This window comes from Homo sapiens, chromosome 5, assembly GCF_000001405.40.
Source record: "Homo sapiens chromosome 5, GRCh38.p14 Primary Assembly".
NCBI lineage: Eukaryota > Metazoa > Chordata > Mammalia > Primates > Hominidae > Homo > Homo sapiens.
The window spans coordinates 14,242,627-14,261,833 of record NC_000005.10 but is presented as its reverse complement, the minus strand read 5'-3'; the positions used below and the strand labels follow the sequence as shown (position 1 = coordinate 14,261,833).

At 44.2% G+C, this 19,207-nt stretch overlaps 1 protein-coding gene across 10 annotated transcripts in view, besides 5 other annotated features; it reads right to left on the bottom strand.

The window, feature by feature from the left end:
- TRIO (trio Rho guanine nucleotide exchange factor) overlaps nucleotides 1-19,207 on the bottom strand; it is a 366,863-nt gene that overhangs the window by 248,371 nt on the left and 99,285 nt on the right. The gene's annotated exons all lie outside the window — the stretch shown is intronic.
- Nucleotides 2,599-2,788: an enhancer, noted in NCBI's record as "active region_22399". NCBI's record gives its function as "activates an Ori minimal core promoter by ATAC-STARR-seq in GM12878 lymphoblastoid cells {active_cell/tissue: GM12878}" and the evidence as "EXISTENCE:reporter gene assay evidence [ECO:0000049][PMID:35858748]".
- Nucleotides 7,508-7,678: a silencer, noted in NCBI's record as "fragment chr5:14254265-14254435 (GRCh37/hg19 assembly coordinates)". NCBI's record gives its function as "represses an EF-1alpha promoter that drives an FKBP-Casp9 reporter gene in an ReSE screen in HepG2 liver carcinoma cells {active_cell/tissue: HepG2}" and the evidence as "EXISTENCE:reporter gene assay evidence [ECO:0000049][PMID:32094911]".
- Nucleotides 10,083-10,132: an enhancer, noted in NCBI's record as "active region_22398". NCBI's record gives its function as "activates an Ori minimal core promoter by ATAC-STARR-seq in GM12878 lymphoblastoid cells {active_cell/tissue: GM12878}" and the evidence as "EXISTENCE:reporter gene assay evidence [ECO:0000049][PMID:35858748]".
- Nucleotides 10,753-10,812: an enhancer, noted in NCBI's record as "active region_22397". NCBI's record gives its function as "activates an Ori minimal core promoter by ATAC-STARR-seq in GM12878 lymphoblastoid cells {active_cell/tissue: GM12878}" and the evidence as "EXISTENCE:reporter gene assay evidence [ECO:0000049][PMID:35858748]".
- Nucleotides 10,883-10,972: an enhancer, noted in NCBI's record as "active region_22396". NCBI's record gives its function as "activates an Ori minimal core promoter by ATAC-STARR-seq in GM12878 lymphoblastoid cells {active_cell/tissue: GM12878}" and the evidence as "EXISTENCE:reporter gene assay evidence [ECO:0000049][PMID:35858748]".

Sequence of the window (19,207 nt, the reverse complement as noted above, 5' to 3'; positions counted from 1 at the left end):
CTTAAGTTTTTACAACGTAATTTAGAAGTTATCTGCCCAAACCAAAGAAACAAACCAATCTTCTCTGATGGAAAGAGGAGACTCTGCTTTGGAAGAAGTGAACTGGGAGGCTTGTCGTTCCAGCACCTCCACAACCAAAGGAAACGCAAGCCTTCAGGGAAGTGGTGTCTAAGCAGGAAACACAGAGCCTCACAGCTCTGCTTCTCTGCAGTCAGTGGGCTTTTCCCCCAAGAATTTAACGTGACACTGAAATGTTTTCATTATGAGATTTTGTAAACAGACCAAGCATGATGGAAGCAGCAAGCCAAGTCAACTCTACACACCTCAAAGCTGAGCATCCGCCTTTGTTCTTCTGAATGTTAGCCCACACTGCTGTCTCAGGTCCCTCAGCCTCATAAGGCTGGCTGGAGGCAGCCTACTGAGGGCTCACGTGACTCCATTTGCTGCCACATTAACTGAACACAAGTTAAGCCTCTGTGAGGCCTCCCAGCACAAACTGTAACTCCTCAGAACATCTGTACTACTTTACCCACGAAATCCTGCCTGGGACTCACTGTGAGTACGAAGGGTACACAACAAACACTATACAACAGGTAGGCCAAGCCAAAGCGTTCCAGACAGTCTATACATTTCCAGAAGAAAAAGGAACTGAATTCCCAGCACTGAACCACGATTTGGGTTTAAAATTTGGCTTATTCTAGCTTATCTCCACATGAGTAGCCTCTACCCCAGCCTTACCTCCTGCCGGCCCTAAAACTCAAAGGTTCTGATTCTGAATGAATGTTTCCTCCACAGATAAACAAAAAAGGGTTTAAGGAGGGGGTAGGTGCAGGTACTAGTCACTGAAGCCGCAATCCTCATCCAGGGGCCTTGCTCACCAACAAATGCCTACCAATCCCCTCTACTCCAGTATTCTGTGTTGATTCATTTTCCAGCCCTGGGGAAAACATACACCAAAGCTGAGTGTCTGAACAAGCTATCAATTAATCTGAGTGACCTGTAATTATGTTGAATTTAAAATACAGTATTCAGAGTTACTAAATTACACATTTAAAATACCAAAGTTTCCCTAATGTACTCCACAACGTTAAGATACTTTAGGTCCATGCCCACTGCAAAAATCCCATTAATTCATTTACTCCTATTAATATAGAATATAAAGTAAATGCCACAAACAAACATCAGAATTTTTAACTGAAGGTTTGAAAAGTTATTTCCACTTCAGTAAGCATGGATTTGATTCTAACATGAAACTCAGTACAAAAATAAATCTTTAATAACATCAAAGAATTTGGCAAAACTTTCTGCCAGTCAGTCCCTTGATAAAGCTTAGAATTGTGTTTAATCGCTTGGCATTCATAAAATACATATTTATGCATGGTACTCTCTTAAACCCCAGAGATTTTTCCCCTAAATGGCATGTTCCTGATTTTAAGAAGCTTATACTCTAAAACAAAATAAAACACACATTACACTAACCGTAGCCTTAACTGTGTAAACAGTAAGAGCTGACAAATATGTCTTCCAAAACACACTGTTATGTGTAAAGAGATATAGATACTGTTATTATTAATTAGACAAATCCATTTAAAAGTGTTACTTTTCATTGAAATGCTGTATCTATCGCTGACACTAAAAATAAGTCCTTAACATAAAAAAGGTGTTCCAGACCATTCTGAAAGGGTTGGAAACGCTTGCTGTGGAGATTAGAAACACAAAGCCCATTAGTGAATAATAACGTAAGTAACATGTTCAAAGATTAATACTGTGATGTTCTAATATTAGAAACCCATATTATAGCTCACATATAAACTGCCTTGCCTAAGTTACTTCAGTTAATCTACTTTGCTTTGACAGCTTTGTTCCTTCTTCTCTGAATGTAATTTGCAATACATCTGATGCTCTGAGGATTCATCCGATCAGAGGCCAGCCAAGTCCTGCTCTTTAGATGTTTATTGACCTGCAGAGGCCAGACAGCCTTGTAGCAGTCTAAGAACCCCCGTAAGAGCAATCCTGTTACTATTATGACAACTCAAAAAAAAAACAAAAAACCTGGCACTTTGTAACTTGTTTTTAGGCTGAATTCAGCATGCAATCTACAGTTAATTTGGAAGTTTTCTTCCAGATCCTTCTATTTGTTGTAAAAAGATTTGACTGCTCAACAAGTATGTTAACCCAGAGGCCATACCTGTCCAACTGTCTCAGGATTATACTGATGCTGGCAACCACTGGCTTTTGCTCATATTGACTCAGGTGCTGCTGTCCTGCCCTACACCCTCTTTTCTCAAGCAGAAAAAGAATTCTGGTAGATAGGCCCCTATTATTTACCCTCCTACTGAATTGCTAATGAGAAATTTAAGAAATTACAAAGAGGGTTGAGAAAAGTAATGCATCTGCTAACGCAGAAAACAAAGAGAAAAGAGAAATTCATTTCAATTCTTCTCCTCCTACCCCTTTCCCCTCAAATTACCTTCTGCATACAGACAAAAGGTGAGTGGTGGGTTTTTGGTTTTTTTTCATTCTGGTTAAAAATGTGTTTATTAAGCCAAATAATTTAAATATACTGATGGGAAAACAAATTTTGACACAGAAACAGATTTGCTGTGATGGACTCACCTCTCTCTTGGCATCTGTATACATATTCAAACACATTCACTGATCAACAGAACGATGCAAACACACACACTAAAACCGAAAGTGACCGCTGGAGGCGTGAGGACCCTCCAGGACCCGGCAGAGGGAAGCCTCAGAAGGAAATCACTGCTTGGAGACGCAAGTGAGCTTGAGGAAACGACCAGCTCACTTGTGGCCTGGTGGCGTCTCCTCCCTTGGATTACCTCAGGGGAGGTTGGTACTTAGGAACTCGAAGGCAGCACAGGCTCAGAGGACTGCGCATCAGTGCCCTGCAGCCCACCACCCAGCAGGACTGCAGCCCTCATCTGCTTCCACTGTCTTGAAATGACACGGCACAGCTAATCCAGTGATCACAAAAAGTTCCCACAGAAGCAGCTCCAACTGTGTGACCATCTCACTCATTATCCCCCTGGGCCACTGCTGTGGAGCAGGAGGCTGGGATGGCTAGAGGCAACTGGGCTGGTACTGGGGCCACAGGGCCTCCTCCTGCTTGCTACTGGGCGGCCCTCAATAAATACTGGGGAGGTAGAAGGTGAGAGGCAGACGAAGCTCTTCCGCAGTTTCATATCTTTAGACACCTGCCCTGCAGTGCCCAATCTGAGTGGGGTAAGATCCTAAAAGACTCTGCAAAGCTGAACGTCTTGTAGGCTGGGGAATCTGTTTTCCTTTTTCCAGTCTCCTAATTGCTACACTCCTGACAGGACATCTCAGTATCTTATCTACTAAAAAGCACAGGGAACATCGTTTTCCAAATTAAACTTAGTATAGTAATAAAAACGGCAGTGCAGTAAGGACATTTAAATAAGGTGTGTGGCACTCCCTCACCGGCCAACTCTCTGCACCTACAGCATCATTCCAGTACCCTGCAGGGAGACCTCAGGGTGCCTGCTGCCCCAGGAGCTGGGATCCAGCAGAGGAAATGACACAGGGTTACAAGCAGCCACCTTAAAAGGGAGCTACACACATGGGGATGAGGTGTGGAGAGGATTCAGGAGCACGCTCGCTGTGGGGACAGGCAAAGCTGCACTTCACTAGCATTACAAGTGTTAAGTACATCGGCTGCAAACCACAATGGTGCCACAACTCAAAACGAAATTTTGTGTCAACAGTTACTTAGGTGTCTAGTTAGGAGCCTGGGCTTGCCACCTCCCAGGGGGGGTGACTGTGGGCAGTTACCTAGTCTCTCCAAAGCTTCGCTTCCTCGTCTGTGAAATGGACAGCCTGAGAATCACAGCTCACAGAACTCACTAACAAATGCTAACAGTAGCAGTTGTAACAGTATTAAAGTATTAATATCTGAAACTTAGCTGTACAAGTTTGGTAAGTGCTTTAAATAACTGAATTTTGGGAATTTTTGCCCATTTACCTAAAATTATTGTATTCTGTTAAGACAGACATCTTTACTTAAAACTAAAAGAACAGACTGAGACATGTAATTATTGTTAAAAAGCCACTAACAAATAGACATATTTTTAAAAATCCACACAATCATAGTAAATTAACCTGACTATAAATAATTTCTCCATAACTTCTCCCAGGTGGACTATAAATAATTTAAGGAACTATAAGGCAATGGGAAAGTCAAGCCACTCGGGAAGATCTTTCCCACGCCCCGTCTGTCCCCCTTCCCCACCCCACAAGCACCTGAGCACTCTCAGGGTCCTGCTCAGCCTTGCTCCTGGCTGTGAAAAGGGCCAGCCAGAATACAACCAGAAATGGAAACACATGAGCCAAAAAAACCACGTGAGCAAAATTTTTTTTTTTTCCTGGAAGAGACTACTAACTACCTCTCTCCCAAATGGTGACAACAAAAGCTTCGATTAACCTGTCTATCTTTCTGCATCTTGTTACTTGTGCTAAGAATTCCGTGTCTCCCTTAAAGGATGGAGGTGGGACAGGTGAGAGTGAATGCTATCACAACGCTTTGCAGCTGCGGCCTCACCCTTGCTAGTGGCCCCTGGATCTGGTGGAGGTGCCTGCAGGAGCCTGTCTGGTGTCCAGAGGGCAAGAGGGCGGAAAGCCGCGACTGGACAGCAGGAGGTCGCCAGAGGCACAGACAGACCTCATTCTCCTCCCATCTTCGGCTTCCACCTTTGGGCTCCCTTTTCAATAGGCAAACATCTCTCATTTTAACAGATAATCAAAAATAAACAGGATCTTCCCACTCTACTTTGGCACAGAGGCAAACACCACAGGGAACAGTGACTGGACACACAGACAAAGATGCCAGCCTTTGTACACACACTGCCCTTGGTGCCACACCCTTGGCCCACTATGCTAAAGGCTGAACTCATTTGTTTAAAGTAATGAAAAGCCACACTAAGTTTTCCTTCTTTATTCTTGCAAAAGCCAGGCCAGATGGTTTTGTGAAAGCTCACAGTACGATATCATCAGTCAACTCTGCGACCAAAACACTGTAACACCTTCAAAACCTCCAAACAGGAGGAGGACGGGCAGTTGCCATTATAGTAAATAACTTCTAAGGGGCCTGGTGGTTTTAAATATTCAATTACTCACTTTATGGTAAAACAAAAAGGCTTTTTAATCAATCCTTCTAATTCTTTCAGCTACTAAAATGAAAGTCTCAGCAAAATAGTCCCCAGACTTGGAAGAGAATTGATGTGACCTGTAAGAAGGTGTGTATATTTATTACATATGTTTGAAACCACTATCCGGTTTAAGAACCAGAACACTGACACTCCCCTAGAAGCCTTCCCCATGCCCCTCCCTGATTGCACACACCTCCCTGGCTCTAGACGTAACCACTATGCGGACTTTCTGCATAACCATTTGATATAGTTTGGATGTTTTGTTCCCTCCAAATCTCGTGTTGAAATGTGACCTCCCATGCTGGAGGTGGGGCGTGGTGGGAGGTGTTTGAGTCATGGGGGTGGATCCCTCATGAATGTCTTGGTGCTGTCTTTGTGAGTTCTCACTTGGTTCATGTGAAACCTGGTTGTTTCAAAGAGAGTAGCACCTCCCACTTCTCTCTCTTCTCTTTCACCATGTGAGACACTAGTTCCCCCTTCACCTTCAGCCACAAGTGGAAGCTTCCTGAGGCCCTCACCAAAAGCAGATCCTGGCACAGTGCTTCCTACACAGCCTGCAGAACAATGAGCCAAAATAAACCTCTTTTCCTTATAAATTACACAGTCTCCAATATTTCTTTATAGCAACAAAAGAACAGACTAGTATGTCATTCAGTCCTTATTTTTCTTTACAGTTTTGCCATTTACAAACCTAACCTATTAGTATACAATATATTGCTGTGTTGCTTATTTTTGAGCTTTATATAAATGCAATCATGCTACAGGCTGAACACCTCTAATCAGAAAATCAGAAATGCTCCAAATTCCTAAAGTCTTTGAACACCAACATGACTCTACCACAAGTGGAAAATTCCACACCTGACCTAATGTGACAGGTCTCAATCAAAGCACATCAAAACTTTATGTACAAAATTATTTAAAATATTGTATAAAATTACCTTCAGGTTATGTGTATAAGGTATATACAAAACACAAATGAATTCTGTGTTTGGTCTTGAGTCTCATCCTCGAGATGTCTCATTTTGTATATGCAAATATTCCAAAATCCAAAAATATCTGAAATCCAAAACACTTCTGGTGCCCAGCATTTCAGAGGAGGGACGCTGGAACTGTACTTGCGTTCTCCCGTGACTTGCCTCCAGTTTGCATGACTCATCTACATTGATGTGCGTGCTGAGTTTTATTTAATACAATTTCACTGTTGCATAGTGTTCCATTTGATGACTACAACTTGAACTTATTTTGGCAATCTTGTAAGTGAACATTTGTTTTGTCTCTCATTTTTGCTATTACAAATAATGCTGCCATGAACAGCCCCATCCACTACCCGAGAACCCAAGGCCAGTGGATCTCTACGCCTAGAGATATGTCAGGGTTAAATGGCTGGCTTACCGTTTACGCACTTTCCCAAGTTTATGAATTAATATCAAACTGTTTTCCCAAAGGGTTGTATTCCACATCCTCTTTAAAGCTTGTATTGTCCGTCAGACCAGTCTATGTATTTAAGGATGCAACCATTTGCTGCTACCTTTTACCAAATGAGTTGAAGAATACAGAAACAGGCATATTAGTGGACAAGAGATTAATCTGAAATCAATTTTGGATTCTAAACTCTCTGAACCAATAAAACAATAAACTAGATTTTCATATTTTGCTTTAAAAGTGTGAGACTAAAAGAACAGGATACCCCATTGTTTCCCTTTCTATTTATGTCTCAACTGAATTCCTCTAATAGTTCCTCCCATTTAAGATTCCCTACAAGTAAGTGCCAAAAAGGAACTGCTGGGGAGACCTGCCCATAAACTCAGTCTCCAACCTCCAAGTGGTCTGGGTTCCAAAACTTTGTTAAGAAGACTGCTGTTTCTCAATTTAAAAAATATATTTTCCCGTAGAAATAATGCTACAGGTTGCTATGAGGGTCCGAGAGGAGCCCACCAAAGCCTATTTCATATACAATAACCCACTTATGCTACTGGTGTGGTTGGAGAAGAAACAGGAGGAGGAGGGTGGAGACCAAAAACCTTCCTGCCTTTCTCGCGGGAGAACAGAGCCAAGACCAACGGTAGAAAGATGGCCTGGCCATCCACAGGGCTCCCCACTTCCTGTATCCTTCCTTTCCAGGCGCCTCACATGGCACATTGCTGGAATGCACTAACCAGACAAGGCGATCATGGTCCTCCATGCAGCAAGCAGTTTCTGAGGGTTTGAAGCCCAAGACTCCTTTATACCTCTTAAAAACTACTGAGGATCCTGGAGTTTGAGACCAACCTGGCCAACATGGTGAAACCCCGTCTCTACTAAAAATACAAAAATTAGCCGGGCGCCTGTAATCCCAGCTACTTGGGAGGTTGAGGCAGGGGAATTGCTTGAACCTGGGAGGCGGAGGCTGCAGTGAGCCGATATCATGCCATCGCACTCCAGCCTGGGTGACAAAGCAAGACTCCGTCTCAGGCGGGGGGAGGGGGGGAGAACTATTGAGGACTCCAAGGAGCTTCTGCATTACGTGGGTTCTATTTATTACTTACTTTACTATTCTGTCCACCTAATATCTAGATATCTCAGATATATGGGTATTTACCATATTAGAAATTAAATCTGAGAGAATTTTTGAAATAATATCTTCAAAATAATAAATTCATTACATATTAACATAAAATACTTTTTCCAAAAAAAAAAATCAGAAAGAAGGCCAGCGCTGTTTCACACTTTTGAGACTTCCTTTAATGTGTGGTTTAAGAGAACTCATCTTAACTCTCACTTATGTTTCTGTCTTTAATCTGTTGTGATGTCACATGTCAGGTAGCCTCTGGAAGACTTCAGCATACACTTTGGAGAGAATGAGAGTGAGAAATAGCTAAGACTTTATTTCCCTGTTGTGAAAATAGTTTTAACTCAGAGATTCCCTACAAAGGTCTTAGGGAACCCAAGGGGTCCCTGGGACCACACTTTGAGAATTGCCGCTTTAAGGGCATAGTCTTCAAACACTTTTGATCAAGAATCCCAGCACTGGCCAGGTGCGGGAGTTCATGCCCGTAATCAATCCCAGCACTCTGAGAGGCCAAGGCGGGCAGATCACCTGAGCTCAGGAGTTCAAGACCAGCCTGGGCAGCATGGCGAAACCCTGTCTCCACAAAAAAAAAGAAATCAGCCGGGACCTGTGGTCCCAGCTACTCAGGCTGAGGCAGGAGGATCACTTGAGCCCAGGAGGCAGAGGGTGCAGCGCACCAAGATCATGCCACTGCACTCCAACCTGGGTGACAGGGCGAGAGATGTCTCAAAAATAAATACATAAATAAAATCCTATCACTAAAGAATTTCACTACATACCTTCAATCCTAAATTACACACGTACTATTCTGTACTAGTAAAGTATGTATGCAGTGACACATACCCCTAAATAGGCATTTAAAAATAAGCCATAAATAAGTATTTCTTAAAAGATTTTTCTATTTTCTTCCCATACCCAGAAGACCGTGGTGCATGTGGCAAGTGCAGCACTCCTGTCCTCTTTGAAATCAGCATTTCCTTTTCTTGAGCAGAGTTTGTCTTGACTACTGCTGGAGTAACAGTGATATGATCAGAGTCACTTGCATCAGTGGCTAAAAACTGTGCTGACACAGAAGGTATTTCCCTGGTTAAATGAATGGCTAATTGTAATTTTGGGGCCAGGCTGCCCCAGTGAGGCGAAATGATAGCAGTGTGCATGGCGGTACTGCAGTCCAGGAGCCCCAAGTATACAAGCCAGTCTTGCTGGGTGTGCCCTGGGGTCAGCTCCCCCATGGTTTGCCTGCTTCCACTCCCCTCAACCTCTCCCTCAATGAATGGCACCTAGGGAGGCAGGAAGGCTGCACAACCTCGTCCCTCTCTCCTGGAGTGAGCTGCAGAAGGCTCGGGGCCAGGCTGCCTCAGAGGGATGATGCCCTCTGGTTTAAAAATAAAAATCTGTATTCCTGGTTTATATACAAGTAACCCCATTTAAAGGGAGTAATTCGGATCTAGAAAGGTCAGTTTGAAAGGAGATGTCTCAGGGATGGTTTTAATTGTTTCCTGGGCTCTCCTGCAATCTTTTGTTCTTTTTATGAGAAGCAGCAACAGAAAGCACAGGTACCATTTAAAAAGGACACAGATGAAGTCCCTCGGGGATCCAGGTAAGACCTGTTGTAGAATGTGAGTTCAACCTGCTGGGGCATTCCTGCCACTCTGACATCCTGTGGCAGGCCAGTTACAAGGGCTGCCTCTCAGTGGGCACCTAACAGTAAACGTGGTTGAGCAGCTACCCTGAAAATCACCAAGAAGGTGGCAAGCCTGCAGGCAGGAAGTCTAGTATGGTGGCCAGGTGCTCGGTGAGGCCACAGCTGGATAGAGAGTGAGCAAGGAATCGATGTAGAATTATCAGGAAGGAAAAGCAACTGGATCTATCAACAGACATGGCACGTAAAGCAAAGGCCTTGACATACTGAAGTCTCTGCAAAGAGTCTTACATAAAAGATGCTTAATTTTTAATGAGACAAAATCTTGAACAAGGCACAAAATTGCCAGGAGTGAGTTTACAGTAAGAAAGTAACCTTTTCCTTCTGTAAACAAGTATAAACAAAGCCAAACTGATTGTTTCAATGTCATATTTTACAGCATCTGGTTAAGGAGGTACCACAGCTTGGGAAGGGCTTTTTTTTTTTTTTTTAAGTTGCCTCTTTCAAAACCATCTGGTAAGGCTCTGCTGTCATTTCAAAAGTTGGTCAAATGTAGTCACATCCAGTCACCTCTACCTCAGCCTCCTCTCAGGTTGTAGAGAGAAAACAGATGCAGTCTTTCTCAAATAATCTGTTCCTGATCCCATGGCTTCTGTTGACACCTGCTTCATCTGTTACTTAGGCCACCCCCATCCTCACACCTTCCCTCTGCAGGTGAATTCAAGGCCCCAATTGTTCCCACCTCCCAGGGTAGCTTCGAGGTGAGCAAGGGTGAAGGCTCAATAAACGAAAAGACGCCCCACCTCTTCTCCCCCTGCACCCAGTCAGTGAGGAGCCTATGCTGTCCAGAGGGAGAAAGAGGGGCCTTTTCAAAGAGGCTGCCCAGCCTCTGGTGCCCCAAGGCTGCAGGTGGCTGTGGAGAGGGAGGAACAGATGCACAGGCCCAGCGCCAAGACGGCAGCACCAACAAGTGTTCCTTGCCATCTCCAGTTCACTCCATCTCCAAATTCTCCAAAGACCATGGTAGTTTAAGAATCTCGGATTTGGGTGCCATGATTTTTAATTATACAGGAGTTAGGCTCTGTCAGGTTACGTGCTGCCCGTGAGTGCTGATCAAAATCAGTAGGGACACAGTTTAACTGAGAGTCCCTAGAGGCATAGGGCCAGAAGCCTGGGCCATTCCATTGTGTTCCTAAGAGGTTCTACTAATACAATCAAGACAGTTTCACTTTTAAAATCATCAACTATGAAATCAAGGAAACCTTGTAACTTCTTGTATCTGACATGTAGTAGCACCTGATCACCATAATACCAACCCCAAGAAAGCCAGGACCAAGAGCAGAAAGCTGTCCTGGCCTCATCAAGCCTCAGTGGCTGAGGGCTCACACCCCCTACCCCAAATCTCATGTTTTCTTTAAAGAAAAAAATAATGGGGATCAAATTCAAAGGGTTCCCCTCGCCCCCTCCTCTGTCTTCTGTGTGTTCCCTTTTCTGACATGGAAGGGCCTGAGCAAATCATTTCACCTCTCCTGGCCGCAGCTTCCTCCTCTGTTAAGCCATGTATTTCAAAAGGCTGCTGGAGAATTCAGTGAGAAAATGCGTGTAAAGTGTTTAATTCACCTGAGCAAATCTGGGCACAATTCATGGCAGCTATTAAATCAAACTGCCCTCAATCAAACAGGATGCAATGGTGACCACGGAGAAAGGCACAACCAAAAAACAGCACCATAGGAGGATTCAGTTTTCCTTGAAAAGGATGTGCTTCTATGTACACACAGCTGAACACAGTACAGCCTCTCCATCCCTCTCGAGTGTACAGGCTCGGGTGCTCTCAGAACTCATGGGAAAGCAGGGCAAGGGAGGGAAAAGCCCAAGCTTTGAGCTTTTTACTCCCCTAATAAATAGGCAAGCGGTTACTAATGGCAACAGAGCATCTCCTCCCCTAGTGCTAATTTGTGGGCATACGGAGAGGCTCCATAGCGCTGTACAAGAGGCTACTCTGGTCATTTTTCTGCATAAAAGCTCCCACTGCAGTTCAGCTGTAAAGCCAGCCACACACTACCCTCATTAACAGGCCTACCCAGGTGAGGGACAGCCCTGGCCAGGGGGAGCAGGCATGCAAGGAAAACGCAATTTAATTACAAACGCACAGTCGCTCTGAGCCGATAAACTGCTGGCAGCGCAGAGGTGGCTCAGAGGTATCGTCAAGACAGTGACGGCATGCTGGCCACGTGGCCGGCAGCTAAAGGGATTACATCATCTCCTTTGTGCAAAGATGAACTGTGGGAGGAGCAACTGCTCACTGGCTAAAGCACCTCACAGGGCTGCGCTACAGAGGGCTGCAGTTTCTGTCGGTGTAAATTGCCCTTATTTCTCCTTTGTGTCAAAAATAAAACATGCTCCAAAAGATGAGACAATCAAGCAGCCTGGACTTCTCTAACAAATTCTTATTTGTCATTTCCCTGTGCCTTTTCGAGCACACTGTTTAACAGGATAATTGCTAAAGTGGAAAGGGGGAAAATTGGTCTTTTTATGAACTTGGTATGAAAATCAGCAGAACATGCATTCTCATTCCAGATCACAGCTTTCCATTCTGAGGGTGGGTGATTTATACTTTGTCTCCATGTTCTCTCCCACCATCAAATGAAGCTGCTCTGGGTGTCAGGCAGCTTGAGGATGCAGGTTTTTAAACCAATCCTCATGCAGGGCTGTCACTGGGTCCAGAATGCTGTTCTGCTCATTTTTACATAATTCTATTAAACCAGCAAGGCAGGCATCAGCTCAGAATGACGTTATCACCAAGAAACCTGCTCACAAAATGTGTCCTGCAAGTAAACATGCCTGCCCTTTATAGCTGCTCTCCATCTCACCATCCAACAAGGTGTTTATGCCAAGGGGTCGGACCAGCTGCTTAACCTCAACACATGCAAATTAAACTCACATAAAGGAACAAATGAAGCCTGAACCACATGAACCCATTCTCCATTGGCAATTCCCCCCTCGAAAGTCCAGAAAGTTCAGCTATCTTTCAAGCTGAAGTAATGATGGTGCCTCCCTCCCTCCCCCACTCCACTCACTCTGTAAACTGGCATTTGCCTGGAGTGATGGGTAGTAACAAATGGGCAAGCCTAACCATGGGCGGGCTCTCATCAGCTTCCTACCAACAATCTCCCGCACCACAGAATTTCAGGATGGCTCTGGAACTCAGAAATCAACTAAATCAGAAATCATTTTCAACCTTTCCAAATCTGTTTTACCAACAAGACTCCATTTCTATTTCTCTTGTACATTTCCACTGTTTTCCTTCATAGGAGAAGCCATGCATCTACCTCTGAAAAACCGACAAGTCAGTCTGCCTCCAGCCAAGGTTAGCACTGCCAAGACTGCCCGTCTATTCTCAGCCTATGGGCACCTCAGGCAGGAACTATGTACATCTAGCTCACCTGGACCCCTGTGTTGAGCATAGCACCTCACCTGGACAGAAGCTCAGCAAATCTTTTTTGAGGGCTCTCAGTCTGGTGAGAGAGATCACCACCGTCAGGAAGTCAGCCAGGCTTGGAATCAAACCCCAGAAGTACCACGTCCAAGTTAATACACTCCTTAGAGCTTTGGAGCCATTGCCCATAATATGGGGATCAGAATTTCTTATTGGTGGGCTTGCTCTGAGGATTACAGGAGAAGTCTGTAAAGCACTGAGCACCACTGTAGCACACACCAACAGTGTCCACCAATGTCAGCTCTGATGACCTGTTCCAAAGCACAGCCCAGGGTAGCAGTTCCTGACAGCGAGGGAGGATGAACAAGATAGGTGGGCAGCACTTGGGGGCCCTGTGTGGACGGCGCTTGCAAGGGGCTCCCCTCAGGAAACTGACTCCCAGGCCCTGAGCTGCCTTCTGTTCCAGGCAGGCCTTGTCCCCCTCACCTACGGCAGCAGGTGCAGGGACACTGCCTGGGGCCCCGGGTGTATTTAATCCACACAGTCAACATAAAATTAACCATTCAAGTAACGAATGGATCAAATCACTTTATTTTACTTTCCTAATCTACTCAATGTCACTTTAAATTGGCAGTGGATGTTACTAAAATGCATTCAACACACTTCGCAAGAGCAAGTGTCTGAACAGAAGGGTATGCTATAAGATTTCAGTTACCTAATGCCTAAGGTTTGACATTCCATTTGTAATTTTTTAAGTGGGAAGGTAATAACATTAAAGAATGATTCCTTCAAAATCTAATTTTGATTATTTTAACTTGGTGCATTACCAAGTTCTAACTCTATGATTTCCTAATATACCATGAGGTACAAGACCCATTGAAACATCCCACAGTCATAAGCTAATAACCCCAGCTGCAAAGAAGGGGCAGTGGTCTATATTTTCTTTTTTTTTTTTTTTTGAGACGGAGTCTCGCTCTGTTGCCCAGGGTGGAGTGCAGTGGCGCAATCTCGGCTCACTGCAACCTCCACCTCCCAGGTTCAAGCCATTCTTCTGCCTCAGCCTCCCAAGTAGCTGGGACTACAGGCACAAGCCACTGTGCCCAGCTAATTTTTGTATGTTTAGTAGAGATGGGGTTTCACCATATTGGCCAGGCTGGTCTTGAACTCCTGACCTCGTGATCTGCCTGTCTCGGCCTCTCAAAGTGCTGGGATTACAGCTGTGAGCCACCGTGCCCTGCCTAGTGGTCTATATTTCTTCTGCTTCCCTCTCTATATTTAATTTATATATCTAAGCCCATGTATTCCAACTTATCAACTTTATTGTCAAAATAGCATGCTCTTCTTAGCACAGACTATAACATCCTAAAACAAAATTAACACCTATTTTAAGTGCAATATAATGCAAAATCTTATATGACATATACCAATCAAATATGTATGTGTCCTACAAGGAATCTACCATAAAATTCAGTAAAGTTTCCCAAACAGGGTTCAAATGATCAAGAGTTTCTTCAACATCACTTCAAGTCTTGAGTTAATCTAAAAGAACATATTCCTTAAAAGACTTTTATATCTTACCATAATAGGATATACGAATTAGTAAGACTTCATTTAAAGCTGAAACCCTCATTTAAAAGTATATTTCTACATTTGGAAATAACTGAAATGCATATTAACATGTTTCATAGTTCAGGCTAATCTTCCCCTAATTCTGAAGTTTACATCCACACATCACAACAATGGATTACAGCATCCAATACCCAGTTGTGACAGTGACAGGACATTTCCATGTCTTGACTTGGCCCAGGCTCCAGCCGAGGGCAGCAGAGGGAAGGGACCACACAGGCTAACACCAACGTGAAGAAAGCACACGAGGCTCACTGAGGGGCCACCAGGCCTGCACAATGCAGGTGCCAGCCCTTGCTCAGCGGGCTGAGCTGTGGGGAAGGGGGAGGTGGGGGGTGGACAGACAGCGGTGGCCTGCTACCTGTAGTTTGGGAGGACACACATTGCTGGTGTGGACAGAGAAACACCAAGGAGCGAGGCCAGGAGGACTGCCTGCAAGGCAAAGGGACTCAGTGAGCAGGGTGGAGAGGGGAGCACCTCCAGGGTGCACTCTGAAGGGGAGTTGTGAAGGTGGCCAGGAGTGGGCACCACCATGCCAAGGAACATTCCAGGAGGTGGTGTGGGGGGTGTCTCCGAAGAATCCGAGAGACAGGTGCAGAGACAGAAGCAGAGCACAACAGAATGGCAGGGAATGGCTGAGTCAAAAGAGTGTTACCCTTTTCCTTCTTCCTTGTCCCTAGCCCCCAGATGGAGAAGCCACAGGGAACAGGAGGCGAGGGGTGACTGGAGAGGGAAACAGAAGAAATACAGCCCCTTCCCTGAGGCTGGCCCACAGAAAGGGGGCAGGCCTCAGCTGGGAAGAAGAGGGCTTCCAGTGGGTGAAAGAGTGACATTCCGGTTGAGACTGGCTTGGGCTCTTAATGCCTACAGCACTGACTGTTCCAATATCCAAAAGAGAAGTGACAGCCACAGGGTCTGCCTGAGAAGCGACCAAGAGCAGAGACAGACAGGGAAAGTGAAGCCTATTCCTGGCTGCGCTTTCCAAGTTCCAGTAAAGAGGTTATGTGACTTTATTCATGGACTTGGTATTTTAAAATATTAACGAAGTTCCACAAACACATGTACCTCCCAGCCCTCAATGATGTTAAACCCCAGAGTTCCCCCTAGTTTAACAGCTAGTAAATCAAGTTTTAAATTTAAGAAAAATGAAGTAGCAGAAATTTAATACTGTTGATCTTATAATTATGTTTTATTTTCTATCTTTAAAAGGCATTATTTTGAACTTTCACCTTCTGATTTAAATTGTTTCAAAGGATACAACGAAACTGTAGCTGTTTATCAGATAGAAGAAATGGTTTAAGGTGAGAGGGGAAGTAAAATTTATCAGGGATTTAAGTAAATCAAGGGAATGGATAATGAGTGTTTTTCCCCTTATATCGTTAACCGGGAGTTACTCCCAGAATAATAAGCAATGTTGAATGTACACTCTAACCTAGGAGGCTTCAATCTTGTCCTAAATGGAATAGACATCAAAAATATTCAACACCCTAATAGGCTTCTAATTCCATTGCCTGTGTCATTTACCTGGAACGGACATCACCTGGCAAACTGTGCTTTAGGAAGGCCAAATTCCTGGCCGGAAATGGTGGCAGCACACCAGGGTCACCAGCTATTCTGGATCTGTGGCACGGGCCAGAATATCTACGCCTGCCCTTCATTTGCCCCGTGTTCTTCTCAGGGACCTCTGTGTGCACAGGTGGAGACAGCCTTACAATCAGTCCACTCGGTGCAAAAACGGTCAAGAAGAGTGTGTCTATTGCAAAGGCCACTGATCTGCAGACAAGACTCTCCACGCCGAGGCATCTCCAATTCAGTAGCGCAGAACTGTCACCAGCTTGGTCTGACATACACTATCTTTAAGCAATGACAAGCACAGCTCTCAAGAAACCAAGTTTTTTGTTAGCAGCTGCCTCAAAAATAATATAAGCCTTTCTTTTCTTCATCTACAAGTGGAGGAGGGGAATGAAGAGAACTGCAAGCACTCCCCTGAATAAGAAACTTTGTGGTTGCAGAAAGACTGAACCATTTGAAAACCGTACACTGATCCTATCACACACATTCAAGAAGAATGTTCCAGTTGAAATAAGAAACTTCAGTGAAAGAGAGCTCAGATTTCTAGGGTTTACTAATGGAGAAACTGTGCCAGCATTTTCAACAGGTGCAAAGGAGCTTTTACAATAACCTAATTTAAATACTAGGGACAAATGGATATACCACAGAACGGCGAGTGGATGTTCAAAGTTGAGAACAGTGAAACCCTTACAGAGGAACAATATTAGAGAAGCTGATCACAGCAAATGCTATCTTTTCATTGACTCAAAAGACTCGCTGGCTTTTCCCAAGTCTGTCAGTAATATTTTACTGTTTGCTGTAGAGAACTGTGGGATGCATAGCTCCCGATGTTCAAGTACTTAACTCGGAGCTGCATCCCCCTGGGCCTGTCTCAGACTCTCTTTTCCTGGGGCTATACCTCCCCTAGCTGCCCTTGCAGCCCACCCCCTCTGCCTATGCCTCTCACAGACCCCAAACCTCATTTACCCTGTGCTCCCTGCTCCAGCAACTGCAGCCTCCCTGTATGAGCCTGACCCAATCCTCACAGATGCCACCTGAATACACCAAGGACCCGCTGCAATCCAGGCTGACGGCAAGGAGTGGAACGTGGAGTTCCCAGGTGCTGCTTCTTGCCGCTGTGGGCTACGGTGAGGAGTCAAACATGGTCCCATAAGCTCAGCAGAATTTCAAATTTATTTTAATGATTAATGCTTATTTTCTCTGACATTCTTAGTACTGCAGTTCAGCAACATTATAGGACAAGACAATTTCTAGGGCTGGCCTGAGAGCCCAGCCATACAGATAACAATTCTACAGAAAAATCATATTCTAGAATGTAAATAACCAATTTGGAAAAACTGGCCATAAGGTGCTTTTAAGTATTCTACATACTACTATGAAAACCCAGTATCTTTAATAGTCTCAAAAGAAAGCATCTGATTTCTACATTCTCTATAGCTTCAAAGATAGCCTCTTCCATGATATTTGCCCCATTTACAGCAGACAATGCCAAACCATCATTCAGAAATCCTATGCATTTCTATATTAAATATCATAAATTAAACAGGAAATTACAACTTCAAAGTGCATTCCCGAAACTGGCAACTTCAAATGCAAAATATAATACAACATTGTAAATATCTTTGTGAAAAACAGATTATAATTTTAAGTTATTAAGATCTACCTTCATGAACCTAAAAGATCAATCCCTATGTTAAAGTGTGCTACCCAAAGACCTCAAAACGTTCCATGATGTTTTACTTTCCTTATTTTAAGCAACGCACCCGAAGTGTAAAATGCTAAATTGCCTCCCCTTGGTCAGCAGCGGCTGAGCTGCACAGCCAAGCAGGTCCTGGCTGCAGGACCTGAGTCACTCCTCCCTAAGAGGAGCCCTTCTGCCAGGCATGGCCCTGCATATGGCGCTGTTATTGTACTAGCTAGTTTGCTGAACAGCAAGTGGTAGGCTCCTATGAGGCCTTTGCTATTTTTCTAGAAATACCCTCTCTTTGATGAATTAAAAGCTCTAGGCTATTGGCATGCCTATACCAAAAATGGATCATACTAGACAAAAACTCATGAAAAATGTACACAATTAAAGAAAAAATGCTAACACAGAAAGTCAATATGGTCTTTTAATGCACCTAATTATTTCTATCCCATATGTTTTCCTTATAAATGTATGAGGAAAACAAATGCTGGGGAAAAACTAGTTTGGCTTATACCCTCCTATGGAATAATTTTTTTTTAGTCCAGAATATTACATTCATTATAAGATATTATGTTTTGTCATTATGACCTCTATTTGACATACACCTTTCCAAAAATCATTTTCTAATTATTTGAAGAGACTCTCATAATAAAAGTTACCATTATAACAGATACATGGAAACTTAATTTAAGTACCATAGACATAAAGATCAGCCAAGGACTCTAAGCTAGAAACAACTGAATTGGGAGGAGGGGTGGAATTTTACTTGCATTAAGGAATATAATCTTTAATCAAATTTAAATCTAACTTAAAAAAAAAAAACATTTCATGTCTAAGTTGCGAGCAAAACATTGAGAGAAAAGGCAGGGTACACACGAATGGAGAGGGAGGGGGGAGTAACAGCAGAGGCAGGGACCAGGACATGGACACACCCAAAATCCCAGGAGCCGGAGAGGGGACACAGAAGCAGCAGGAAAGAGCCATAGCAGTAATGGGAGTGCCCGGAATTCTTCACTGGCTTCAACACAAGACTGAGCTCCTCCTGAGCTCTTCACACTGAGGGGCCTGATAAAGTCTCCAACCAAGCCCTGCTGTCTTTGCAGATGTGGCTGTGAGAGAAGAGACCCCCTGGCTGGGCCGCCAACCACTGCATGTGTCTGTTCCCTCTGCCCGAGCAAGGTATCCCAAAGCTCACCTGCAATTTACCTTCCGGAGTAGAGAGGGATTTAGAGAAGGCAGGGCCTGTGTTTCCCATTTCTGGTTTATCCTCCAACAATGCAGAGTAGAGTGGGAATATAAGGGCTGGCTGACTTGGAGCAATCAAATAATAGATCAAAAAGCCCGAATAGCCTGAACAACACAGTGAGACCTCATCTCTGTAAAAAAAATGTTTTAAAAGATTAGGCAGGCATGGTGGCACGCCTGCAGTCCCAGCTACTCGGGAGGCTGAGGTGGGAGGACTGCTTGAGCACAGCAGGCGGAGGCTACGATGACCCATGATCCTGCCACCGTA